Here is a 26,009-nt window from a genome sequence, read left to right as displayed (position 1 = left end):
ACCATGCCTGGCTAATTTTTTTTTGTATTTTTAGTAGAGACGGGGTTTCACCATGTTAGGCAGGATGGTCTCGATCCCCTGACCTCATGATCTGCCCACCTCGGCCTCCCAAAGTGCTGGGATTACGGGTGTGTGCCACCACGCCTGGCCAATGAACTTTTCAAAAGTGACCAAGGTCAGGGATGTGGTTAGGGTCAAAATGTGACTACACCTGCCAAGTGGCAGCAGAGTGCTCCAGTTATGGGGGATTGGACCCTCATACCTGTTTGGGAGAGCAAAAAGTGGGTATACTTTCAGTTAGGAATAACTGGTCAGAAATGAAAGGCTAAGTCAGAATTTTCTTTTTTCTTTTTTTTTTTTTTTGAGACGGAGTCTCGCTCTGTCTCCCAGGCTGGAGTGCAATGGCGCAATCTTGGCTCATTGCAGGCTCTGCCCCCCGGTTCACGCCATTCTCCTGCCTCAGCCTCCGAGTAGCTGGGACTACAGGCGCCCGCCACCACACCTGGCTAATTTTTTGTATTTTTAGTAGAGACGGGGTTTCACCGTGTTAGCCAGGATGGTCTTGATCTTCTGACCTTGTGATCCACCTGCCTCGGCCTCCCGAAGTGCTGGGATTACAGGCGTGAGCCACCGCGCCCAGCCCTAAGTCAGAATTTTCAAATGATAGAAAACAGCTGTAATCTTAAAATCATGCTATGTAGGCCGGACGTGGTGGCTCATGCCTGTAATCCCAGCACTTTGGGAGGCTGAGGCAGGCAGATCACTTGAGGTCAGGAGCTTAAGACCAGCCTAACCAACATGGCAAAACACTGTCTCTACTAAAAATACAAAAATTAGTTGGACATGGTAGTACTACTTGGGAGGCTGAGGAATGATAATCGTTTGAACCCAGGAGGTGGAGGTTGCAGTGAGCCAAGATCGCACCACTGCACTCCAGCCTGGAAGACAGAGTGAGACTCTGTCTCAGAAAGAAAGAAAGAAAGAAAGAAAAAAGCATATTGTGTAAAACAAAACCACTGGTGCCTAACTGCCAATCCTTTGACTTGAACCTCTGCTGTGAGGCAGAGGTAGAATAAAGACAGTTCTCTGCATAGCTCTTTACACAAATTTCCTGTGCAAAGACAGAGACTGAGGCCCTCACGCTCAAAGACAAGAAAGCATTTGCAAAACAGCTCAGATAGTCTAGACCTTCAACCAAAGAGTGAGAGGTCTGAATTTAGGAGAACTCACCAGAAACACCCAACAGTGAAACCACCATTGCAAAATTGTAACTGAGATGGTGAAAGAGATGTCACCTAACCAACTCCAACTCCATCTTGTTTCTAACCTCCAAGCTGTCCTTGTTCATTCCCGGGTGAAGGCTGAACTAACTTTGAGTGGAACTTTTTTTTTTTTTTTTTTTTTTTGAGACACTGTGTCGCTCTTGTCACCCAGGCTGGAATGCAATGGCACGATCTTGGCTCACTACAACTTCTGCCTCCTGGGTTCAAGCGATTCTCCTGCCTCAGCCTCCTAAGTAGCTGGGATTACAGGTGTCAGCCACCATGCCCAGCTAATTTTTATATTTTTAGTAGAGACAGGGTTTCACCATGTTGGTCAGGCTGGTCTCAAACTCCTGACCTTAGGCAATCTGCCTGCCTTGGCCTCCCAAAGTGCTGAGATTACAGGTGTGAGCCACCGTGCCCAGCCAAGTGGAACTTAGTTTATAATTTGAAAGGAAGATGATAGCCCTTTCTGGAAAGAAACCCCCTTCTTCCCTGGGGACTAGACTGCCTTTGTAGGACCAATAAATTAATCAAAAGATTGGAAATTATGGTCTAGGAGTCATGCAGCTGAAGACTACAAGATTCTGACCCTCCCCAGATTCCTCCTGGAGGTAACATCACTGTTGTGTAAAATCTAAGAACAATGCTTGAGGTATTTTGCAGACACCACCCAGCTGGTACCACCCAGCTCAATAGACTGGCTCATCTGATCTTGTGGCCCCAGCCCCGACCCAGGAACTGACTCAGCACAAGAGGACAGCTTCGACTCCTGACGGTTTCATCTCCGGCCCAAACAATCAGCACTCCTGACTCACTGGCTCCCCTCAACCCACCAAATTATCCTTAAAAACTCTCATCCCCAAACGCTCGGGGAGACCGATTTGAGTAATAATAAAACTCCAGTCTCCGGCACAGCTGGCTTTGCTTGAATAACTCTTTCCCTATTGTAATTCCCCTGATTTGATAAATCGGTTCTGTCTAGGCAGCAGGCAAGGTGAACCCACTGGGCATTTACAATAGGACTCCTGAAGACAGAGAGTTCATGCTAGTATCAAGGCCATTTTCAGAAACAGTGGTGGTGTTAGTCTCGCCAATGCACCACAATGTAGCAGTCTCTTGTTGTGAGGTATCACTTGGAGTTCTTTGTCTCAGGACCAAGAAATTAAGGAGTGTGGATACAAAGGAAAGGGTGAGGTTGGAGCAAATGTTTAATAAGTGGAAGAAAGCTCTCCACTGCAGAGATGGGAACCAGAGGAGGGCTGCTGTTTTTACAGTTGAATGCAAAGGCTTTTATAGGAAACCGATGAGGGCTGGGCATCTCATTTGCATATGGTGCCAATTTCTGGTAGCTTCGCCCCATCCTCATAATGTGAATGTGGGCCCTTAGCTTGAGTTCATCCATATTGCTTTGTTCCCCTTACTGCACATGTGTCAGGGGATGGAAATTTCCATTGCGGGCATGTCTGGGCAAGTCACCCGTGTAGGCTTTCTTGTCTGTGCAGCTGTGGGCATGTCTTAGACAAGCCCCGCTGTGCAAGTTCCCTTATCTGTGCCTTCAGGCTGTTCTTTGAAAGGATTCAACTGAGGACCCACCCTAACTGCCTGCCTGACCGGATTTTTTCCTTTCTCCTTTCTCAGTGGGGATGAGGTAGGGGGACAGTCACTCTGAATCCTGCCAACTACACTGGATATGTCAACTTAAAAGGAAAAAGCAGAGGCAAAACTAATATAAGTAGAGAGCTGATTTGGGCCCAAGCTTGAGAACTGCAATCTGTGAGCATAGATTCAAGTTGCCCTGAAGATACGCTCCAATTAGCAGCAGTTGCAAGTGGGTTTTTAAATGGAAAGAAGGCCAGACGCAGTGGCTCACACCTGTAATCTTAACACTTTGGGAGGCCGAGGTGGGTGGATCATTTGAGGTCAGGCCTCCATGGCCACCAGTTTGGGCTCCATGGTGAAAACTGCCTCTACTAAAAATACAAAAATTAGCCAAGTGTGGTGGCGGGCGCCTGTATTCCCACCTACTTGGGAGGCTGAGGCAGGAGAATGGCTTGAGCCCAGGAGGCAGAGGTTGCAGTGAGCCAAGGTCACGCCACTGTACTCCAGCCTAGGCGACAGAGCAAGACTGTCTCAACAGAAAGAATAAAAAATAAAGGGAAAGAAGAGGCAGTTCCTAAATTGTTACCAAGAATTTGCACTACAGTTGGCTGGGTGCCGTGGCTCATGCCTGTAATCCTAGCACTTTGGGAGGCCAAGGCAGGCGGATCACCTGAGGTCAGGAGTTCAAGACCAGCCTGGCCAACATGGTGAAACCCTGTCTCTACTAAAAATACAAAAAAAAAAAAAAAATTAGCCTGGCATAGTGGTGGGCACCTGTAGTCCCAGCTACTCAGGAGGCTGAGGCAGCAGAATTGCATGAACCCAGGAGGTAGAGATTGCATTGAGCCGAGATCGCACCACTCCAGCCTGGGCAACAAGAACAAAACTCCTCCGTCTCAAGAATAAATAAATAAATAAATAAATACAATAACATTAAGCTATTGGTTGGCCATACATTGTTCTTTGTATCACAAATTCCAAGAGCATGAAGATAAAGGGTGAGGCTAGTCAGGAACAGAGTTAAATAATTGCCCCCAGGCATGTGTAGGAGCCTGGGATGATGTAAAGGGTCCACAACTGAAGTCCTGTAGCCTTGTGGATCTGGGCCTGCACACCTCACATAGCTCAGACATCTCTGAGCTATTTTTCTTTTCTTAGGTATAAGGATTATTTTGAGCTGGTTGTTTTGAGAAACAGCAGAGACAAGAGAAGCTCTGAAAACAAGAGTGGTTACCCTTTTGTAAGAGAAATTTACATTTGTAAAAAAAAAAATACAGGTGGGCCTGGTGCCTTACGCCTGTCATCTCAGCACTTTGGGAGGCTGAGGCGGGTGGATCACCTGAGGTCAGGAGTTCCAGACCAGCCTAGCCAATATGGTGAAATCCCATTTCTACTAAAAACACAAAAATTAGCTGGGCATGGTGGTGTGTGCCTGTAATTCCAGTTACTCGGGAGGCTGAGGCAGGAGAATGGCTTGAACCTAGGAGGCAGAGGTTGCAGTGAGCCGAGATCGCGACACTGCACTCCAGCCTGGGCAACAGTGCGAGACCATGTCTATAAACAAATAAATAAATAATCTCCATTTGTAAGAGTGTCTTCCTCCTGGTACTAGAAAGAGGAAGATGACTCTGCATCACTGGAGACTCTGATTATTGGAGAAGGCACTGATTTAATCTGTATAACAAATCTTGCCCTCTTTTACCCTTTTTATCCCAGGCACTTTCTCTTTCCTGGCCTCAGCTCTACCCTTCTATCTTTGGTTCAGTTGAAGATGGTAAGGCTGGATGCGGTGGCTCATGCCTGTAGTCGCAGCACTTTGGGAGGCCGAGGTGGGTGGATCACTAGAGATCAGGAGTTTGAGACTATCCTGGCCAACATGGTGAAACCCCATCTCTACTAAAAAAACAAAAATTAGCCTGGCGTGGTGGCGTGTGCCTGTAATCTCAGCTACTCAGGAGGCTGAGGCAGGAGAATCACCTGAACCCAGAGGTGGAGGTTGCAGTGAGCTGAGATTGGTGCGCTCCAGCCTGGGTGATAGAGCAGGGGGAGAAAAAAGTATTGGAGCAGGAACTAAAGGAAGTAAAGCACAGTTGAAGAGGGCCAAATGGGCGACTTGAGCGATCCAAGTGCACTGTTCAGCCTTTGACTTGGGGCTTTATACGTTGGCATGCTTCTGGGGGGCTGTGTTCCTTCTCCCAGTTCCTCCCGTGGGGTGGGCTGTCTGCGCGTGTGGTGGGCTGCATGTCGCACTTGAGAGCAGGGGCCGCATGTGCAGTGCGTTTACTGAAGTTGTGTGCATACTCATTTGAGTCAGCTGAGTGTTCCTAGAAGGTCAAATACCAGTTAAACTCCGCCGCTTTGCCTCTTAGTGCACATACTTGAGCCTACTTGCCCAGCTCCTGAGAACTTACTGGCAGGCTGCTAATCACCAGCATCAGGTGTTTTCTACCTATTGGGAGACCGCCTTTTCCTGGTGCCTGCTGTGACCCATTATTATTTTGGAAAGAAAGTATAACAACCACCTGACCATCACCTGGTGGTTGTCTCACGTTCCCGGCAGGGGCGGTCTCCTGCTCAGCTCATGTCTGCCTAGCTGCCTATTCTAACAAGCAGAGGTTGATCCCTACTACTGGGAGTGGAGTCTGTCAGGAGAAAGACGGGAGACAAATGTGGGGATGACCATGGAGGACCCAAGATTTCCAGAACCCATTTCAGGTCTTGGGCATCCTCAGTAGAGTTCACTTGTGGGGGATCCCGGAGCAGACCCTCAGAGCAAGGTGGAAGGGCCAGGCCCAGATGGTCTTGGGAGGGTGCTGGGTACACGGAAGAGCTGATGAAAACAGGCACCTTTAAGGCTGGGTTAGGTCATCCAGACCCTCCCTCTGGGCCTCTGCCTCTCGATTTGCCCTCCTCAGGGGCCCTGCCCATCCGGAACAGGGCCAGCAGCAGAGCCCCTCAGCACCACTGCTCTGTGCATGAGTTGTTAAGGAGAAAATAGGTAGGAGCAAACTTAGGAGCGTGAAGTCATTTTCATTCTTGTGAAGAAGGAACCATGGGCACAGGCTTGTCCCCAAATCTTCTACCTTGCTCAGGGCACAGCGTGTTGGTCTGGACTAGATGATGTAGTCACTTAAGGACCATGAAAGGGAATACAGAAGGGACACAGCTAAGCAGATGTGTTCCTCCCAGGGCCGGCCCAGTGTCTGCTGCAGGGCCTCTCCCGAAGGACAGGGACAGGGCCTCTCTGGTTGGCCTCATGAACAGTCCTGCATACGTCCTACAAGCTTGTCAGCATCTGGAGATACTCTGTCAGCTCTTCTTTTCCAAGCAATCCCCAGTCTTGTAGGAAATGCTGGATTTCCTGGTCTTTGCAAGGAATGGCTCAATTTCATGCTTTTCTGCCAGAATACTGGGATGGACAAACTTGAAGTCCAGTTTCTTCATAAGTGTCTATCCAGTGATAAAATTAATTTCCCATTTGGTAGGAGGGCAACAATTTCATTTAAAAAAATTATTTGCATCAATATTTGCATTGTATTTTAGTGCATAGCATGAACCCTTCATTCCACTCACTCTCCATGGGGAGGGGGCCCCACGGAGTCAGCTGCCAGAAGAGCTTTGGATACTGCCCTGCCCCTCCCTCCAGGGCTGTGCCCAGAGTAGCATTTTTTTTTCTATGCCGTGACATTTTTTTTGTATTTTTTGTAGAGACAGGGTTTCTCCATGTTGCCCAGGGTGGTCTCGAACCCTTGGCCTCAAGTGATCCGCCCACCTTGGCCTCCCAAATTGCGGAGATTATAGGCATGAGCCACCACGACCAGCCCCCATAGCAGCTATTATTATTTAACTTTGCTTTGGAGAAAATTAATAAGCACGAAAATATGTATAAAAAAGCAGAAAAAAGGAGTATTTCTTTTTTGTATTAGTTTTACAACATTTCTTCAAAAATCTTATGTTTGCAATCAGAAAAAAAATTATTTAAAAAAAACAATCATAGTCTTACAAGAAAGAGGCCTTTGAGTGAGGCGAGATGAAGAAAATTAGGTTTTGAGATCTTTCCTGAAACTCTGGTTCCCTGTTAACAGAAAAGTGCTGAGACCACCTGAAACCAGTTCACAAAATACAAATCTCCAGCGCAACACACGCCTGAGGCTGAAACCCACGCCTCGACCCAGGGGAGGCTGCGCAGCCCCCTGCTCGTGGACGCTGTGTGTCTTCGTGAACCAGGAGTTGGGCCCCAGGAACTTCCAAGATTCCTTCTTGTCCAGGTGAGGCCATATGTGTAAATCAGTTCGCAGCGAAATTTGGCCGACTTATTTGAGGGATTCCTTGGGTCGCTGGATTCTGGTGACCCCGTCATTGGCAGAGGGCGAGGGCTCTGCTGGGCATTGTGGGGTCACCGTTGGGGTTTCCTGGGCAACCCAAGCGCGTAGAGGGGGCCTGTGGGTACATTCCCGGGAGAGGACGCGAGGGGCCCTTTGGAGTCCTGGAGGCGGCAGCGTTGTTGTCCAGCCCGACGGTTCCCGAGATGTGGGCCCCGCGCTCCGAGAAGAGGCCTGCGCGGGCCATGGCGGCCCCCCGGTTTGGTGGCCCCCGGCGCGGCGGCGCGCAGCACGAGCTGCTGGAGAAGGCGGCGCGCCTGGAGCGGGGCCCCCCTCCGCGCGGGGATCCGGAGGCGGTCGGGCGGCGCGCGGTGGCCGGCGACGGCGGCTCCTGCTCTGGGTGCTGGTGCTGGCGGCGGCTGTTCCGCGGCCCGCGCAGGAAGAAGCTCAGGCAAGCTCACGCGCGCGCAGGCAAGGAGGCCCCGGAGCGCGGCCTGTGGGGCCCCTCGAGCCTGCAGAGGCTGCTTCAGAGGCTGGCGACGTGGAGGCGGCGCTACCTGCGGCGCAAGGAGCGGCCGGACCGGCTGGAGGAGATCCCGCTGCTGGTGCTGGACCGCGCGCAGGGCGGCCACGAGGCCGCGGCCGGACCCCAGAGCAGCGTCCCCGGGCGGCCCGCGCAGGCCGCCCCCGCGCGCCAGCCCCGCCGCCGGTCAGCCACGAGGAGCCGGTCCCCCGTTGCGCCCCCTGTGCACGCTCAGGATTGTTTTTTTCTTTTTGGTCAACAAAAGCAATAAATGAAAGTAACCCCAGCACCGTAGGAATGAAAGCACATGCAATGTTGGGGGGATGTGCATGGAAACCAAGGGTTATCTTGAGGTTCGCAGCGAGCTAAACGAGCCGCGTCCTCCTCGCAGCCTCTCTTTGGTCCGAGGGCCTCGGAGCAGTAACTAAAGCCTGCGGGTGCCGCGGAGCCCTGGGTTCCCCCCGCTGCGCAGTTGCTGCGGGCTGGGAAGCGCTGAATCGGGGGCGGATTGTCTCTTCCTAAACACTGCAGGGGAGAAGGTGGGAAACGGTTTTCAATCTCTGCAATGCCTTTTTTTTGAGACAGGAGAAAAAAAAAAAAAACCAACTATGTTGCCCGGGCTGGACTCAAACTCCTGGGGTCAAGCGATCCTAAGCCTCCCAAGCGTTGGGATTGCAGGCGTGAGCTACCACGCCCCGTCAAAAAAATAAAAAAATCGTTTAAAGCAGGATGCTGAGCTTCACATCCCACTTTGAAGTGAGCGAACTCTACTTTTATGCTTTTGTTGACAGGCATTTAGGAAGGGTGGCTTGGGGTGGGGGTGGGACAGGGGAGTTTGGAAACCAGGGCTAGACTTAGAAGAACAAAGGGAAAGGACTCCTGGAGGCTCCCAGATGGGTCTTGAATGTCTTCCTTTTCCTCATCAATAAAAACCTGCTAATGATACTCCGGCTCTACAGACTCGTGAGGATGAAAGTAAAATAGTAGAAGTGAAAGTGCTGTGGGGACTCTGAAAGCGCGACACACCTTACGGGTAGTTACTAAACTGTGATAATGGTCTCTCCGCAGGCTGTTCCCAGCCAGACTAGCATCCACCCCTCCCTCTCCCCTCACTGCCTCACGCGCCAAAGCTGGCAAGCTTTTCACTAGCTCACCCTTTTCTTCTTTTTCTTTCCTTTCCGTCTTTCTTGAGACAGAGTCTTGCTCTGTCGCCCAGGCTGGAGTGCAATGGCGCGATCTCGGCTCACCGCAACCTCCGCCTCCCGGGTTCAAGCGATTCTCCTGCCTCAGCCTCCCAAGTAGCTGGAATTACTTGTGCATGTGCCACTATGCCCGGCTAATTTTGTAGTTTTAGTAGAGACGGGGTTTCTCCAGGTTGGTCAGGCTGGTCTCGAACTCGCGACCTCAGGTGATCCACCTGCCTCGGCCTCCCAAAGTGCTGGGATTACAGGCATGAGCCACCGCTCCCTGCTCAGTTTACCCTTTTCACTAGCAAGCTAAAAACGCCAAACTGCGAGCCTGGAAGCTCTCCACTTGATTGTGCAGCTGTTGAAGCGGCTTTGGAGTCCCTGGCGCCTTCCAGGCAGGGATTTCCCCTCCCCGTTGACCTAGAGCGTCAACGCTGGGGAAGGGGCCAGCGTTTAGGGAGGTAAAGGTGGGAATATTGTTGGAGGCCAGGCGTTCAAGACCAGCCTGGCAACATGGGGAGGCTTCTTCTCTACAGAGAAATTTAAAAATTGAGCTGGGTGTGGTGGTGCGCGCCTGTAGTCCCAGCTACTTGGGAAGCTGAGGTGGGAGGATCGCTTAGGCCCCAGTGTTCAGCTGCGGTGAGCTGTAATTGTACCACTGCACTCCAGCCTGGGCAACAGAGCCAGACCCTGTCTTAAAAAAAAAAAAATCACTGGGGGAAGGGTGGGAGGTGGAGGATCATGATGCCTGATACTTGAACAGTGAACCTAGGAAGATGAAAAACAGAAAAACCAAGGTATACGCTAGAAAGCCGAGGCCAGGAGCCGGCGCCCCATAGGGAAGAATTCTCTGTAATTCTGTGACTTGGGGTTGGTTAGGTGCATTTTGTATTTCTCCTAGCTTCTTTATTCTTGTCGTTGCCCAGATAGATGAAATTGCTTTGTAGGTCTGTGATAGAGGAAGGCGTTTTTACCAGAAAAGCCACTAAACCTCATAGCCCCATCCTTAGGAGGAAGGCCATCCTGTTATCCTGCCTATAGCTGACTGGGCGGGGGGTCCCGTGATGCCTGAATTAAAAGCTGTTCTGTAGGTAGCAGCCCAGTTGAACCCTCTCTGCTTCGAGAGGTTGAAGCTAAGAGGCCGGTAAAGAAAAGACCGCTGGAAGAATGCCCAATTGCTGAATTCTCAAATCCTGGACTAGAGGTGCTGTTGAATAATGTGTAAGACATTCCACCTATTTAATGTTTTCTGGGTTTGTTTCCGAAAGGAAAGAGACAAACTACAGTTAATTCTCTGACCCTTAATTTATTTGAATGTAGCCATGCCTTTTTGTTTCGACTGTCTCGTGGCCCTCTGCAGTACTTCCTCTTCACTAGGCTGAGGAAATTGGCCTAGATTATGTCTCCGTCTGTGGGGACCCCTCTCTACTCACACACACACACACACCCAGGCTTGGTGTATAAGCACGTAGCATAATGTAAATGCTCAACTTATTTAGAGAATTTATTAGGGTGGTTTCACGTGTGTCCTCTGTCTCCCTAGTTTCACTCTTAGGTATCCACACAAAGCCTTACCTTTTTGGCACTGTGCTGTCGGCCTTCAATTGGCTCCTCTTGGCTGTTGATTAGAATGGCTGTCTCCCAGGGCAAGAGCAGAGTGGTAGCTTCTACCAGATTTGCTGGGTTGATACACCAACAGATGTCTCCCACTAAGGCCCCAATTCAGCAGAAGCATGGTCCTTGGATGCAGAGAGAGCACCCAGGCTGCATTACATTGTTGGGGTTGAGTACCTGCAGGTGGTTCCTTCTGCCACTGCCCCCTCCCTGCCCCACCTCCACCCCCAAGCTTAGGAATTTGCAGTATTTCATGGTGACAACTTTTATCTCTGATCTTGCAGAGCTGCATTAGGACCAGCATGGGACTTTTTCTTCCTCCCATATCCATCTTCTTTCTAGCTGAAAACCAGTTTAAAAAACCAACAAAAATGTAGTGCCTCATTATTCAGCCATCTGTGGTTGAGTGTTTTCTGGTGTAGATATTCCAGAAACATGTCTCTTGGCCACAGGAGGTAAGTCAGGTTGAGTTTTTGTGTTAGTGAAGCTCTTTTAGTTTCCTCTTTTAGAGACTTTTCTATCTAGCCTCAGATTCCTTTAAGGTAAAGTTACCTTAAAGGGGGGCCAAGCGTGGTGGCTCACACCTGTAATCCCAGCACTTTGGGAGGCCGAGGCAGGTGGATCACGAGGTCAGGAGTTTGAGACCGGCCTGGCCAACATAGTGAAACCCCATCTCTAGTAAAAATACAGAAATTAGCCAGGCGTGGTGGCCTGTGGTCCCAACTACTCGGGAGGCTGAGACAGGAGAATCGCTTGAACCCAGGAGGCGGAGGTTGCAGTGAGCCGAGACCACACCATTGCACTCCAGCCTGGGTGACAGCGTGAGACTCCATCTCAAAAAAAAAAAAAAAAAAAAAAAGGAATCTAGGGGAAATGTGTTTATTATAAGGAAACACTGTGCTGAAAATGGGGCTAGATCACAGCCCTGAGGCGTGTTGGAGCTGAGTCCTCCTGTGGGCTGAGCCTCCCTCCCTGCTCCCCATGCAGGCCTGTCCTCTTTCTCTCTTCCCATTGATAATCACTCTGTATCCTCCCAGACAGATCTGTCTGAGGGATGTGGTCTGATTGACTTTGGTAATTACCACCATTGCTATTGGTGAAGCCAGGCTACTTTCATGGCTGTCTTCCTGGGGTCTAGCTGCCTTTGGATCAGGGGTCCTACCCTTGGTCCAAACCCCTAGTTAAGAGAAGCCTAGTACTGCTTTCCTGAAAAGGCAGTAGGGGTGTGCTGGGTGCTGCAGAGTTTTCATTAGAATAGACTGTTGGGTAAGACAGGCCCCGTGATTGACATGTTCAATTTGAGTTAGTAAAACTCATGGCTATCATTGTGTTTAAGCCCTGAGAGGTGCCCAGCCAGAAAGAAGGAGGATGTCTTCAGCAGTTCTGCACCCTGAACTCTATGAGATGGGGTTTCTAGAACTGCTTCTGCCCTAACAGGTGGCTTGGCCCTTCCATCTTGCTTCCCCTCTTTCTAATTAACAATAAATTTTGGCCAGGCATGGTGGCTCACACCTGCAATCTCAGCATTTTGGGAGGCCAAGGTGGGAGGATTGCTTGAGGCCAGGAGTTTAAGACCAGCCTGGGCAACAAGGCAAGACCCCATCTCATTTTAAAATAATCAACCAATCTTTTTCTTTAACTATAACAACGACAGCATGACTCCCGTGTTCACTGGCTGTTCTTAGGTGATCTGCATATAGTTTTGTGAGTTTGACAGGACAAGGAGTCTTACTATGTATATATATATTTTTGAGACAGAGTCTCACTCTGTTGTCCAGGCTGGAGTGCAATGGCGCCATCTTGGCTCACTGCAACCTCCGCCTCCAGGGTTCAAGTGATTCTCCTGCCTCAGCCTCCCGGGTAACTGGGACTACAGGTGTGCACCATTATGCCCGGCTGATTTTTGTATTAGTAGAGACGGGGTTTCACCATGTTGGCCAGGCTGATCTTGAACTCCTGACCTCAGGTGATCTGCCCTTCTCAGCCTCCCAAAGTGCTGGGCTTACAGGTAGGAGCACCGGCTCTTGCTATATTTTAAAATAAGAATACAAGGCTCAGAGAGGTTGTACTAACTTCTAATGACCAAACAGCGATTTGGAAATATTTCTTATTTCAAGTCCAGTGCAATTTGTGGATCAGAAAAGCTGTGATGGCAGAAGGCCTTTGCAAATAGGAAATCATGTTTATAAGTTTCTGGTACATGGTTGGTGTGCTTATTGAGTGAATGAGCCAATGAAAGTACCTCAGGGAAATTGGGAAACCTTCCTTCCTTTGAAAACTCTTTTTTCCCCAAAGGGAGAATGTCATCAACTTCAGAGCTTGAAGGCAATTCTTTTTCTATTCCACGTACAGCAGGAAAGACACCAAAGGCTATGTCACACAATTTTGAGAACCCATTAACTCCACAAAGTGAGACAACTTGGTACATGAGAGTTTCTTTCTTTTCTCGATATGGTTTATTTAGACTTCTGATCTTGAAGGAAAAAAAGTACTATCTGTGCTGAATTAAATGGATCTAGCCAGCTTGTGGCTGGGGATGAATGAAGGGCCTCGGACTAGCAGGACTGGGGCTCCCCACTGACTATGGGACCCAGGGCCTGGTGGGCCTGAGCAGTCTTGCGTGGTGGTCTTGGGGACCTGAAGGAAGGGGCTTGTGGGGGACAGGGAGCCCCATCTCACCTCACCCCCCAGTGTCTTCGTGAAGAGGGATGTCAGCCTCTAGCAGACCAGTATCCTAAGTATCTGGGTGGTAGTGGCTGGCAGAGGGGGTCACTCATGTGGGAATGATGGGTCCAATCTATGATGCTGGGGTTCCTTGGAGAAAAGAATTCAGGAGACACTTTGAACTGTAGCGTCTGAAGGAAAAGGGGAGGTTGGTGGTACGCTGGGTTATCACTGATGAGCTCAAGAGGAGAAGCCTCATCTCTGCCAATAACTGGTCAGAGTGCTTGCTCTGCCACGGTCCTCCAAGGTACATACATACATAGGGCTAAGTCCTGGTGGTGAGGCAGGCTTCTGCCCCTGGGGAGAGAGGTAAGATTTAAGGCAGCCCAACATTTTTATTTATACAGGTACAGGTAGACCTTAGTTTACACAGCACTAGGTTCCTAAGAATTACTATGTGACTTGAATTCTTCTTTTTTCTTTTCTGTTTTTTTTTTTTTCTTTTTTGAGTCACTTTCTTTTTTTGTCACTCAGGCTGGAGTGCAGTGTTGTGATCTCAGCTCACTGCAACCTCTGCCTCCTGGGCTCAAGCGATTCTCCTGCCTCAGCCTCCCGAGTAGCTGGGATTACAGGCGCACACCACCACGCCTGGCTAATTTTTATATTTTTAGTAGAGACAGGGTTTCACCATGTTGGGAAAGCTGGTCTCAAACTCCTGGCCTTAGGTGATCCACCTGCCTTGGCCTCCCAAAGTGCTGGGATTACAGGCATGAGCCACCATGCCCGGCTGGTCCATTCCTTCTTCAGTGGACATTTGGGTGGTTGCTTCTACCTTTTGGCTATTGTGGATAATGCTGCTATGAACATGAGCAGACACATATCTCTTTGAGGCCCTGCTTTGAGGAACTGCTGTGTCCTATGGTGATGCTAGGTTTAATTTTTTGAGAAATCGTCCTTCTGTTTTCCACAGCAGCTGGACCATTTTACATTCCCACCAACAGTGAACAAGGGTTCCGTTATCTTCACTTCCTTGCCAGAACTTTTTGTTTTTAGCACTTTTTTTTTTCTGTATTTTTGGTAGAGACGAGGTTTCACTATGTTGGCCAGGCTGGTCTTGAACTCCTGGCCTCAAGCAATCCACCTGCCTCGGCCTCCCAGAGTGCTGGGATTACAGGCATGAGCCACTGCGCCCAGCCCCAATCTTCTCTGGAAACCTCTCTGAGAGTCCCTCCAGTGGACTCCACTCATGTCTCAGTGGCCAGAACACACCTCTAAACCAGACACAGCAGGGGGAATGGGATTAGCATTAATGGCCTAGCAACACCGACCTCTTCCCCTGGCCTGGAGAGAAGGTCAACCTCCCAGTCAGAGGAACAGCGGAGTAAGATTGGGGTTTGAGAGAATTCCAGTTCTTGCAGCTTGTGAGCGGTTTGACTTTGGAGGAGTGATTCAGCCACGCTGAGTCTCAATTCTGCAGCTCTAAAATATGGATAATATCTATATAGACTAGTATGAGGACTACATGAAAAAAATGCACATGAGAGGGCCTGGCTCATAGAAGGTGCTCACTTTTCCATTTCTTACAAGGTACCCAAGATGTGAAAAAGATCACAGGCTTCAAAGTAAGACTTGAGTTCATCTCCAGGCTCTTTGCTTTACCCAAGGCCAGTTATTTTCACTTCTGAATGAGGTTTATATGAGATGACGTAAAGGTGGGAAAGGTTCTCAGCAAATCCTGTTTTCCCTCCTTGGAGGCTCATACGCTTTACCAGAGAATTTGAGATGAAACGACCAAACAGGGAGATGTAGATGGGTCTGGGAAGAAGCTTCCCATGTCTGCTAACACAACTCCCCTCCCTCTCCAGCCTCCCTTATGTTCCTTTAAGCATGGGTGGCAGGTATCTGAGTCAGAAGCACCCAGGGAGTTGCTTGGCCTGGCCTGGTGGCTCATGACTGTAATCCCAGCACTTTGGGAGGCCAAGACAGGAGGATTACCTTGAGGCCAAGAGTTTGAGATCAGCCTAAGCAACAGTGAGACCCTGTCTCAAAAAATAATAATAATTAGCTGGGCACGGTAGTGCACACTTGTAGTCTCAGCTACTCAGGAGGCTGAGTTGGGAAGATTGCTTGAGTCAAGCAGGTTGACGTTATAGTGAGCTATGATCATGCCATTGCACTCCAGCAGCCTGGGAGATGCAGCAAGCCCCCATTTCCAAGAAAAGCATATTCCTGGGCTCCCTCCAGGCCTATTGACTCAGACTATTGGGGAGATAATGCCTATTGGAACCTGTGTTTTAAGAAGCTTCCCAGATGATTCTTAGGGATACAGTTTGGGGAACAGTTTGGAATGGGTAGGAATTGTAGGGGAATAGCCTCAGTGGACCACTGGCTAATTCTCTTCCGTCCCCCAGGCCCACCTCCTGGGAAAAGCAGGCCTTTTCCCAAGGCTGTGCCAAAAGTCTGCAAGCTGCCTGGGCACCTCTAGGCAGAACCAGTAGAAAGCGACTGTGGGGACCAGCAACATAGCAGGAAACTCAGATTCACAGAGGGGAAGTGTACTTGTTCACCTGTCAGGACTGGGACTATATCAGAAATTTCCTGTCTTCTATAACACCAGTAAATGGGGTTCTCCATGAAGCTAATGAAGTGCGAGCTCCACGGCCCTCACTGGCCAGGGCCCTAGAGTTCCAGGTGGGGAAGAGAAGCCTGGTGGCCATCAGGAAGGCTTTCCATGTGCACATTTCTGGTAAACTGCTTAAAGAGGTCCTAAAAACAAAACAAAGGGCGGGGCATGTTGGCTCGTGCTTGTAGTCCCAGCACTTTGGGAGGCTGAGGTGGGTGGATTGCTTGAGCCCGGGAGTTCAAGACCAGCCTGGGCAACATAGTAAAACTTCGCTTCTACAAAAAAATGCAAAAGTTAGCTGGGTGTGGTGGCACACACCTGTAGTCCCAGCTACTTGGGAGGCTGAGGTGGGAGAATCACCTCTGAGCCTGGGAAGTCGAGGCTGCTATGAGCTGAGATTGTGCCACTGCACTCCAGCGTGGGTGAGGGAGTGAGACCCTGTCTCAGAACAAAACAAAAGAAACTGAATGTCTGAGACTCCAGAAATTTGTTTTAATTTCTTTTCTCATTCTTAGACATGTATTGACTTTCATATTGTGTGAACTACAGACCATTCATCCTGCACACCAGTGATCTAAGATGATTATAAACTTAAGGCTGTTCCTTGCTCCCAAAATGCCCTTTTCTGAAGCAGCAAAGTGGGGAAGGGAAAGGCAACTCTGACACAGTGGCAGCTTCTAAGCATACTACCAAGCAAACCATCCCCAAAACAATTACCAATTATTGTGTGGTTTATAACAAGTAGAAGCAAAATATATGACAACAATTACACTATGAATGGGAGAGAGGAAACTGAAGTATACCATTTTAAGGCTCTAAAAATACACATGAAATATTAATAGTAAAATATTTGAATGTAGATAGTGGTAAACTAAACATGCATACTGTAAACTGTAAGCAACCACTAAAAAAACCCAACAAAGATACATAACCAATAAAGTAGATATAATAGAATACTAGAACATACTAAATCTAAAAGAAGGCGAGAAAAGAGGAACAAAAAACATAGAGGAAAAATTGTTAAAAAATAGTTGGTAGATTTAGACTCAATTGTATTGATAATCGCAGTCAATGTAAATGTCTAAGAACTCTAAGAGGCAGAGATTGGGCCAGGCGTGGTGGCTCATGCCTGTAATCCCAGCACTTTGGGAGGCTGAGGTGGGCGGGTCACTTGAGGTCAAGAGTTTGAGACCTGGCCAACATGGTGAAACCACGTCTCTACTAAAAATACAAAAAATTAGCCGGGCCTAGTGGACCGCGTCTGTAGTCCCAGCTTCTTGGGAGGCTGAGGCGTGAGAATTGCTTGAACTTGGGAGACGGAGGTTGCAGCGAGCTGAGATTACACCACTGTGTGTCAGGCTGGGTGACAGAGTAAAACTGTATCTCAAAAAAAAAAAAAAAAGATTGTCAGATTGAAATAAAAATGTAAGATCAAAATATGCTGTATTTAAAAAATGCACTTTATATATAATGATGTACACAGATTAAAAATGAAAGAATGGAAAAAAACTGAAAAAACACTAATCATAAGAAAGTTAGTGTCAGTATAGAAATATCAAAGTTGAGTTCGGAACAAGAAATATAGTCTAGGCGTGGTGGCTCACGCCTGTAATCCCAGCACTTTGGGAGGCCAGGGCGGGCAGAATATTTGAGGTCAGTAGTTTGAGTCCAGGCTAGACAACATGGTGAAACCTCGTCTTTACTAAAATACAAAAATTAGCCAGGCATGGTGGTGCATGCCTGTGATCCCAGCTACTTAGGAGGCTGAGGCAGAAGAATCGCTTGAACCCGGGCCTCAGAGGTTGCAGTGAGCCAAGATCACGCCACTGTACTCTAGCCTGGGCGACAGAGCAAGACTCCCTCTCAAAAAAAACAAATGAACAAAAAAACAAGAAATATAACCAAGGATAAAGTAGATTTTCATAATAAGTAAATGGTGAATTTGTCAAGAAGACATAATTCTAAATGTGTAGGCACCCAATAACAGAGATTCAAAACACATGAGGCAAAATTTGACAAAAACTCAAAATGCTGAAAATACTCCTTTTAAGATCAAAGTAGGCTGGGCGCGGTGGCTCATGCCTGTAATCCCAGCACTTTGGGAGGCCAAGGCGGGCGGATCAACTGAGATCAGGAGTTTGAGAATAGCCTAGCCAACATGGTGAAACTCTGTCTCTACTAAAAATACAAAAATTAGCCAGGCTTGGGGGTGGTGGTGTGTGACTGTAATCCCAGTTACTCAGTTACTCAAGCAGGAGAATCGCTTGAACCTGGGAGGTGGAGGTTGCAGTGAACCAAGATTGTGCCACTGTACTCCATCCTGGGCGACAGAGGGAGACGCTGTCCCAAACCTCCCCCCGGCCGCCTACCAAAAAATAAAAAATCTAGGCAACATTGTTTGGGAGGTCTTGGTCAAAGGCGTACACAAATTCTTTTTAAAGTTATATGGATTTGGGAGGAAGAAACAGAATTGTCATTTGCAGATGATACAACTAAGTAGAAAACTGCAAAGAATCTCAGATATGCTACTAGAACTAACAAGACAGCTTAGCAAGATCGTTAGATAAAACTCTGTCTATAAAAGTCAATTGCAACCACAGACTGGGAGAAAATATTTGCAAAACACATATCTGATAAAGGACTTGTGCCAAAATATACAAAGAACTCTTGAAACTCAAGAAAACAAACAGCCCAATTAAAAAGTAGGCAAAAGATCTGAATAGACACCTTGTTAAAGAAGATAACACAGATGGCAAATAAGCATATAAAAAGATGCTTAGTATCATATGTCCTTAGGGAATTGCAAAATAAACCCACTACTCACTTATTAGAATGAATAAAGTCCAAAACATTGAGAACACCAAATGCTGGCAAGGCTGCCAAGCAACAGGAACTGTCATTCGTTGATTTTGCATTTTGGGAATGCCAAATGGTATAGCTACTTTGGAAGACATTCTGGCAGTTTCTTATAAAACATGTTTAGTTTAATATGGTAAATTTATGTTTAAATTTTACTATACGATCCATCAATCATGCTCCTTGGTATTTACCCAAATGAGATGAAAACTTAAGTTCACACAACAATCTGCACATGAATTTTTTTTTTTTTTGAGATGGAGTCTTGCTCTGTCACACAGGCTGGAGTGAAGTGGTGCAATCTCGCCTCTTGGGTTCAAGCAGTTCTCCTGCCTCAGCCTACTGTGTAGCTGGGATTTTAGGTGCCCCGCAACCACACGTGGCTAATTTTTTTGTATTTCTCGTGGAGATGGGGTTTCACCATGTTGGCCAGGCTGGTCTTGAACTTCTGACTTCAAGTGATCTGCCCGCCTCAGCCTCCCAAAATGTTGGGATTACAGGCGTGACCCCCCCACTGCCCAGTCCTGCACATAAATATTTACAGCAGTTTTATTCATAGCTGCAAAAACTGGGAAGCAACCGAGATGTTCTTCTTCAGCAGGTGAATTGATAAAATGTGGTCCACATCCATATAATGGAATATCATCCAGTGACAAGAGAAATGAGCTGTCAAGCCACAAGACAAAGAGGAGCCATAAATGCATATTGTTGAGTGAAAAAAGCTAGTTCGAAAAGGCTACATACTCTTTGATTCAAACAATATGACATTCTGGAAACGGCAAACCTGTAACAGTAAAAAGATCAGTGGTTGCCGGGGTTGAAAATTGGGAAGGGATGAATGGGTGGAGCACGGGTGGTTTCTGGGGCAGTGAAACTACTCTATCATTTGTCATGTAGATATATGAACTATGCATTTGGCAAAATCCACAGAACCGTACAGCACAAACAGTGAACCCTAATGTAAACAATGGGACTTTAGTGAATAATAATGTGTGTGTGTGTGTGTGTATGTGTATATGTGTGTGTGTGTGTGTATATATTTGAGATGGAGTCTGGCTCTGTCGCCAGGCTGGAGTGCAATGGCACGATCTTGGCTCACTGCAACCTCTGCCTCCCGGGCTCAAGTGATTCTCCTGCCTCAGCCTCCCAAGTAGCTGGGACTAGAGGTGCGCACCACCATGCCCAGCTAATTTTTGTATTTTTAGTAGAGATGGGGTTTCACCATGTTGGCCAGGATGGTCTTGATCTCTTGACCTTGTGATCCGCCCTCCTCGGCCTCCCAAAGTGTTGGGATTACAGGCGTGAGCCACCGCGCCAAGCCATAATAATGTATTAATATTGATTCATCAATTAACAAATGTACTGCACTAATGCAAGATGTTAATAATAGAGAAACTGTGGGGAAGAGTGGTACGTGGGAACTCTCTGTATTATGTGCCCAATTTTTCTGTAAACCTAAATCTGCTCTAAAAAGTAGTATATTATTTTAAAAAGTCAATTGCATTTTTACATATGAGAAACAATGGATCAGAAAATATAAGAAATAAAAGATACTATTTATATTAGCAACAACAAAAAATGTAAGGATCCTAGGAATAAATCTAACAAAATACATGAAAACCCTTTATGGAGAAAGCTATAAAACTTTATTGAAAAACATTAAATATCAGTTCACATGGAGTGATATATATCTTTTTTTTTTTTGAGATGGAATTTCGCTCCTGTTACCCAGGCTGGAGTGCAATGGTGCTATCTCGGCTCACTGCAACCTCTGCCTCCTGGTTTCAAGCGATTCTCCTGTCTCAGCCTCCTGAGTAGCTGGGACCGCAGGTGCCCACCACCATGCTGGGCTAATTTTTGTATTTTTAGTAGAGACAGGGTTTCACCATGTAGGCCAGGCTGGTCTCAAACTGCTGACCTCAAGTGATCCACCCACCTCGGCCTCCCAAACTGCTGGGATTACATGCGTGAGCCACCGTGCCTGGCCAGAGTGATATATATCATGATCTTGGTAAAGACTCAATATCAGGCTGGGTGTGGTGGCTTATGCTTGTAATCCCAGCACTTTGGGAGGCTGAGGTGGGAGGATAGTTTGAGCCCGGGAATTCCTTCAAGACCAGCCTGGGCAAAAGAGTGAGACTCTGCCTCTACCATAATTAAAAACTGAAAAATATAAGGATGTTGATTCACTACAAGTTGATACATATATTCTTGGCCAGGCATGGTGGCTCATGTCTGTAATCCCAGCACTTTGTGAGCCTGAGGCAGGCAGATGACTTGAGGTCAGGAGTTTGAGACCAGCTTGCCCAACATAGTGAAATCCCATCTCTACTAAAAATACAAAAATTAGCCCGGCATGGTGGCAGGCGCCTGTAATCCCAGCTACTTGGGAGGCTGAGGCAGTAGAATCACTTGAGCCCAGGATGTGGAGGTGGCAGAAAGCCGTGATCGCACCACTGCATTCCAGCTTGGGTGACAGAGTGAAACTTCATCTCAAACAAGCAAACAAACAGAAAAACCAAAGTTGATATATATATGTATATATGTGTGTATATAGATATATATATATATACACACATACATATATATATACACACACACACACACCAGAATTCCAATATGTGTACACATGTGGGTGTTTTACTTGAAAAGCTGATTCTAAATTTATATGGAAGAGTAAAAGGCCAAAAAATAGCACGTAATAACTCCTGAATAAGGTAGGAGAACTTGCTCTACCACATAGTAAAACTTATAAACCTTCAGTAATTAAGATAGTGTGTCATTGGTCTGGAGAGAGTATTTAAATAGACTGATGGACCTACAGAGTCCAGAAACAGAGTCAAATATATATGGAAACTTGACTAATGGAAAAGTAGGAATTGTAGAACAGTGGCTAAAGGACAGACTATCCAGTGTATTGCGTTAGGACAAATAGTTATTCATACGAAAAAATTACATTGGCTCCCTACTTCACACACACACACACAATCAATTGTGGTTGAATTAAAGACCAATGCAAAAGACAAAATACTTAGAAAAAAATATAGGAGGGTCAGGCACCATCGCTCATGCCTGTAATCCTAGCACTTTGGGAGGCCAAGCAGGAGGATTGCTTTGAGGCCAAGAGTTCAAGACCAACCTGGCTAACAGAGCAAGACCCTGTCTCTTAAAATAAAAAAAAAAGAATATCTTTATGATTTAGAGGGAGAAACATCTCTTAAGATACAAGAATTATTTACTATAGAGAAAACTATTGATATATATATATTTTTTAAATTTTATTTTAAGTTCTGGGATACATGTGCAGAATGTGCAGGTTTGTTACATAGGTATACATGTGCCATGGTGGTTTGCTGCACCTATTAACCCATCTAGGTTTTAAGCCCTGCATGCATTAGGTATTTGTCCTAATGCTCTCCCTCCCCTTGCCCCCAACAGGCGCTAGTGTGTGATGTTCCCCTCCCTGTGTCCATGTGTTCTTATTGTTCAATTCCCACTTATGAGTGAGAACATGTGGTGTTTGGTTTTCTGCTCCTGTGTTAGTTTGCTGAGAATGATGGCTTCCAGCTTCATCTATGTCCCTGCAAAGGACATGAACTCATTCTTTTTTATGGCTGTAAAACTATTGATATTTTCGACTGCATTAAAATGGGCTTCTGTTTCTCAAAACACCTTATAGACAGTGAACAGACAAGTTTCAAACCGGGAGAAAATATTTGCAACTACAGAACTGTCAAAGATTAGTAGTCAAGATATGTGAAGAGACCCTGCAAATAAGAAGTAATAAATAATCCAGTAGAAAAAGGGACAAAAGCCTGGGTGAGGAGGCTTACGCCTGTAATCCCAGCACTTTGGGAAGCTGAGGCAGGTGGATCACTTGAGGTCAGGAGTTGGAGACCAGCCTGGCCAACATGGCGAAACCCCGTCTGTACTAAAAATACAAAAATTAGCCAGGTGTGGTGGCGGGCGCATGTAGTCCCAGCTACTCAGGAGGCTGAAGCAGGAGAATTGCTTGAACACGGGAGGCAGAGATTGCAGTGAGCCGAGATTGTACCACTGCACTCCAGTCTTGGCGACAGAGCAAGACTCTGTCTCAAAAATAAATAAATAAAATAAATAAATTAAATAAATAAATGGGCAAAAGATAAGACAAACGTTTCACAGAAAAAGAAAACTTAAATGGCCCAGAAACATATAAAGAGTCTAAACCTTATTAATAATCAGGAAAATGTAAATCAGAAACACAGCTAGATGCCAGTTTAATACCTACCAGATTGGCAAACATTAAAGACTTGGTCAGCATCAAGTGGCAAGGATATGGAGTAATGGAGACTAAAAGTTTCTGCTGGTAGGGGTGTCAAGTGTTACAGCCACTTTGGAAAATAGTTTTGATTGATGCTATGAAGCAGGAACTGTCAGATGATCTTTTAAATAATATATCTGGCAGGGTGTCAAGGGCTTTGATTTTTTCATCATGCACGTAGAAGAAAAGTGCACAGTCTTCTGATCTTTTCTTTCCTTCCTGTCTCCCTCCCTCCCTCCCTTTCTTTCTTTTTTCTTTTTTCTGGAGATGGAGTCTCACTCTATTGCCCAGGCTGGAGTGCAGTAGAGCGATCTCGGCTCACTGCAACCTCCACCTTGTGGGTTCAAGCAATTCTCCAGCCTCAGCCTCCTGAGTAGCTGGGACTACAGGTGTGCGCCACCATGCCCGGCTGTTTTTTGTATTTTTTTGGTAGAGACGGGGTTTCACCATGTTGGCCAGGCTGGTCTCAAACTCCTGACCTCGTGATCCATCCTCCTCGGCCTCCCAAAGTGCTGGGATTACAGGTGCGACCCACCGCGCCTGGCCTCATCTGTCTTTCAAGTGTGTGTAACTTTTAGGAATATGAAGATGTCATTTACAACATTATAACCAAGACAGCAAATTATCAAGACAAGCAGGCAGATAGAGGTTCTTTTTGGAGGTTATTTTCGCATGGTGGTTATTTGCACAAATATTTTTATTTATCAATTTATTTCCTAGAGTTGTAGGATTCTAACAAGACCCTGTTGCTCAAACAGAGTTGCAAATAGTGATGAATATACACATACATATCCACTCTTCATAGAACAAGACAGTTTTTATTTGAAAGTTCTTAACCAAATCAATCAGATTCTTTAGACCACTTTTGTGATACCGAGTGTCATCTTTCCCAGTGGCTGTGTGGGTGTCGAGCACCAGTTTTGATCTCTTTGACTCTTTTAGTTAATTGTAAAAAATATTTTGAAGGCCAGGCTCTAGAATTTCATTATACGACATTAGAAAAGAATAACTAGCTTGTGGAGCTGTTTGATTAGAAGATGGAGAGAGGGCTGAGTAAGACTTCATTTAATAAAAGTATAATGTCTTTTTTTCCACTTTAATAAAATTAAACCTGCACTTTCCTTACCATCTACCAATCCCATGTCTAGAGAAATCATTACATCTGCAGCAGGAGGTATGCATGATAATGTTCATAGGAGCATTGGTCATAATAGCAATAAAAACTGGCAATAGTCCAAATATCCGTTAGAGGTAGAATGTATGCATAAAATTGTGGCATATTAGTCCAACAGAAAACCACACAGGCCGGGCGCAGTGGCTCACGCCTGTAATCCCAGCACTTTGGGAGGCCGAGGCAGATGGATTACCTGAGTTCAGGAGTTCAGGACCAGCCTGACGAAAATGGTGAAATCCCGTCTCTACTAAAACTACAGAAATTAGCCAGGCGTGGTAGCGTGCACCTATAATCCCAGCTACTCGGGAGGCTGAGACGGGAGAATCGCTTGAACCTGGGAGGCGGAGGTTGCAGTGAGCTGAGGTCGAGCCACTGCACTCCATCCAGCCTGGGCAACGAGAGCGAAACTCTGTCTCAAAAAAACAAACAAACAAAAAACAAGAAAAACCCCACTATGTAGCAGTGAAAATGAATGAACTACAACTATACATATAATATGCATGAATTATAAAAATAATGTAAAAATTTAAAAAATAACTGAAATTTATGATTCCATTTCTATAAAGTTCAAAATAGGCAAAACCAAATCATATAGTATTGTCCAGGGATGCATATGTAGGCAGCAAAGGAACGATTACACAAAACTAGGATTGTGGTTACCCTTCCAGTGGGGGGAAGAGGAAGTGGCTGGGGAAGCCTACATGTGCTGCTGATGTTCTAGTTTGTATGCTGAATGGTTGTTCAGGGAGGTGTTCGTTTTATCACTTTTTAAATTGTACATATACTGGCCGGGCACAGCGGCTCATTCCTGTAATCCCAGCGCTTTGGGAGGCTGAGGCGGGCGGATCACCTGAGGTCAGGAGTTCGAGACCAGTTTGGCCAATATGGTGAAGCCCCGTCTCTACTAAAAAAAACAAAATTAGCTGGGTGTGGTAGCACGCGCCTGTAATCCCAGCTACTCGGGAGGCTGAGGCTGAGGAGAATTGCTTGAACCCAGGGGGCGGGGGTTGCAGTGAGCCAAGATTGTGCCATTGCACTCCAGACTGGGCAACAGAGTGAGACTCCGTCTTAAATAAAGAAACCAACCAACCAACATATACATTCTCTTGCATACATATTTCACAAGGCGTTATTTATTTATTTATAGAGACGGGCACAAATTCAGGTGAGCTTGTAGATTGGGAGATTGCCTAAATTGTCTCTGTATTTTCACTGAAGCGTAAAGCGAGGTTCTCAGCTGAAATGTGCGGGGAACGTGTGGGAGAGGTGAAGACGGAAGCTATGAGTGTCATCCAGGAGAGCAGAGGAGCAGGCTGACAAGGGACTATAGTAAACCATGGCGTGGTGTCATGTCCCCATGTGAGGTTTGTGGACAGGATGAGTAAACTGTAATCAGTCAGCCTAGTTGTGTGGTTTTTCTTCAGCAGCATTCAGCTCATCAGGCGCAGATGCAGAGAGGTCTCAGAACAGTACAGGGTTTGCCAGGCTATTAAAATGGAGAAAGGGGCATAGATCTAGAGGGTACTGAGAAGGAAATGATTGAATTATTGGCCATGGAATTTAGGCTGAGTGAAAGGAGAAACGAAGATGGGAGGGAGGTGATGTTAGGATTGATGGATTTGGGATCTTGATAAGTTGAAGACTTTTGGAATGTAGGGTACTAGCATGAGCTGGGAAGTTCATGGTTAGTGATGGTTAAAATTAAGATTTTTAGAAGTGGTTTAGAATGTTACTAGTGATGGGCCGGGCGCGGTGGCTCACGCCTGTAATCCCAGCATTTTGGGAGGCCGAGGCGGGCGGCTCACCTGAGGTCAGGAGTTCAATACCAGCCTGACTAACATGGTGAAACCCTGTCTCTACTAAAAATACAAAAATTAGC

The 26,009-nt window shown here is 46.7% G+C and overlaps 1 protein-coding gene across 1 annotated transcript, besides 6 other annotated features; it reads left to right on the top strand.

Annotated features, from left to right (window-relative positions):
- Positions 2,077-3,276: an enhancer, noted in NCBI's record as "MED14-independent group 3 enhancer chr1:244898381-244899580 (GRCh37/hg19 assembly coordinates)". NCBI's record gives its function as "activates an origin of replication core promoter dependent on BRD2, BRD4, P300/CBP and CDK7 cofactors, and independent of MED14, by STARR-seq in HCT116 cells {active_cell/tissue: HCT116}" and the evidence as "EXISTENCE:reporter gene assay evidence [ECO:0000049][PMID:35650434]".
- Positions 2,150-3,014: an enhancer, noted in NCBI's record as "OCT4-NANOG-H3K27ac-H3K4me1 hESC enhancer chr1:244898643-244899507 (GRCh37/hg19 assembly coordinates)". NCBI's record gives its function as "activates a minimal SCP1, AML or CMV promoter by ChIP-STARR-seq in naive and primed H9 embryonic stem cells {active_cell/tissue: H9 hESC(naive and primed)}" and the evidence as "EXISTENCE:reporter gene assay evidence [ECO:0000049][PMID:30033119]".
- Positions 2,525-2,834: an enhancer, noted in NCBI's record as "active region_2843". NCBI's record gives its function as "activates an Ori minimal core promoter by ATAC-STARR-seq in GM12878 lymphoblastoid cells {active_cell/tissue: GM12878}" and the evidence as "EXISTENCE:reporter gene assay evidence [ECO:0000049][PMID:35858748]".
- C1orf202 (chromosome 1 open reading frame 202) lies at positions 7,340-8,654 on the top strand. The gene has a single exon (NM_001395959.1). It carries the CDS (start codon positions 7,432-7,434, stop codon positions 7,978-7,980), a length of 549 nt encoding a protein of 182 aa, NP_001382888.1. The 5' UTR covers positions 7,340-7,431; the 3' UTR covers positions 7,981-8,654.
- Positions 7,419-8,156: an enhancer, noted in NCBI's record as "H3K27ac-H3K4me1 hESC enhancer chr1:244893501-244894238 (GRCh37/hg19 assembly coordinates)". NCBI's record gives its function as "activates a minimal SCP1, AML or CMV promoter by ChIP-STARR-seq in naive H9 embryonic stem cells {active_cell/tissue: H9 hESC(naive)}" and the evidence as "EXISTENCE:reporter gene assay evidence [ECO:0000049][PMID:30033119]".
- Positions 8,157-8,893: an enhancer, noted in NCBI's record as "H3K27ac-H3K4me1 hESC enhancer chr1:244892764-244893500 (GRCh37/hg19 assembly coordinates)". NCBI's record gives its function as "activates a minimal SCP1, AML or CMV promoter by ChIP-STARR-seq in naive H9 embryonic stem cells {active_cell/tissue: H9 hESC(naive)}" and the evidence as "EXISTENCE:reporter gene assay evidence [ECO:0000049][PMID:30033119]".
- Positions 8,604-8,653: an enhancer, noted in NCBI's record as "active region_2842". NCBI's record gives its function as "activates an Ori minimal core promoter by ATAC-STARR-seq in GM12878 lymphoblastoid cells {active_cell/tissue: GM12878}" and the evidence as "EXISTENCE:reporter gene assay evidence [ECO:0000049][PMID:35858748]".

Source organism: Homo sapiens, chromosome 1, assembly GCF_000001405.40.
Source record: "Homo sapiens chromosome 1, GRCh38.p14 Primary Assembly".
Taxonomy (NCBI): Eukaryota; Metazoa; Chordata; class Mammalia; order Primates; family Hominidae; genus Homo; species Homo sapiens.
The sequence above is the reverse complement of the archived record's forward strand: the minus strand, read 5'-3'. Positions and strand labels throughout refer to the sequence as shown.

Coding starts and splice junctions, on each gene's coding strand:
- C1orf202 (NM_001395959.1), top strand. CDS start 7,432: ATGGCGGCCCCCCGGTTTGGTGGCCCCCGGCGCGGCGGCGCGCAGCAC.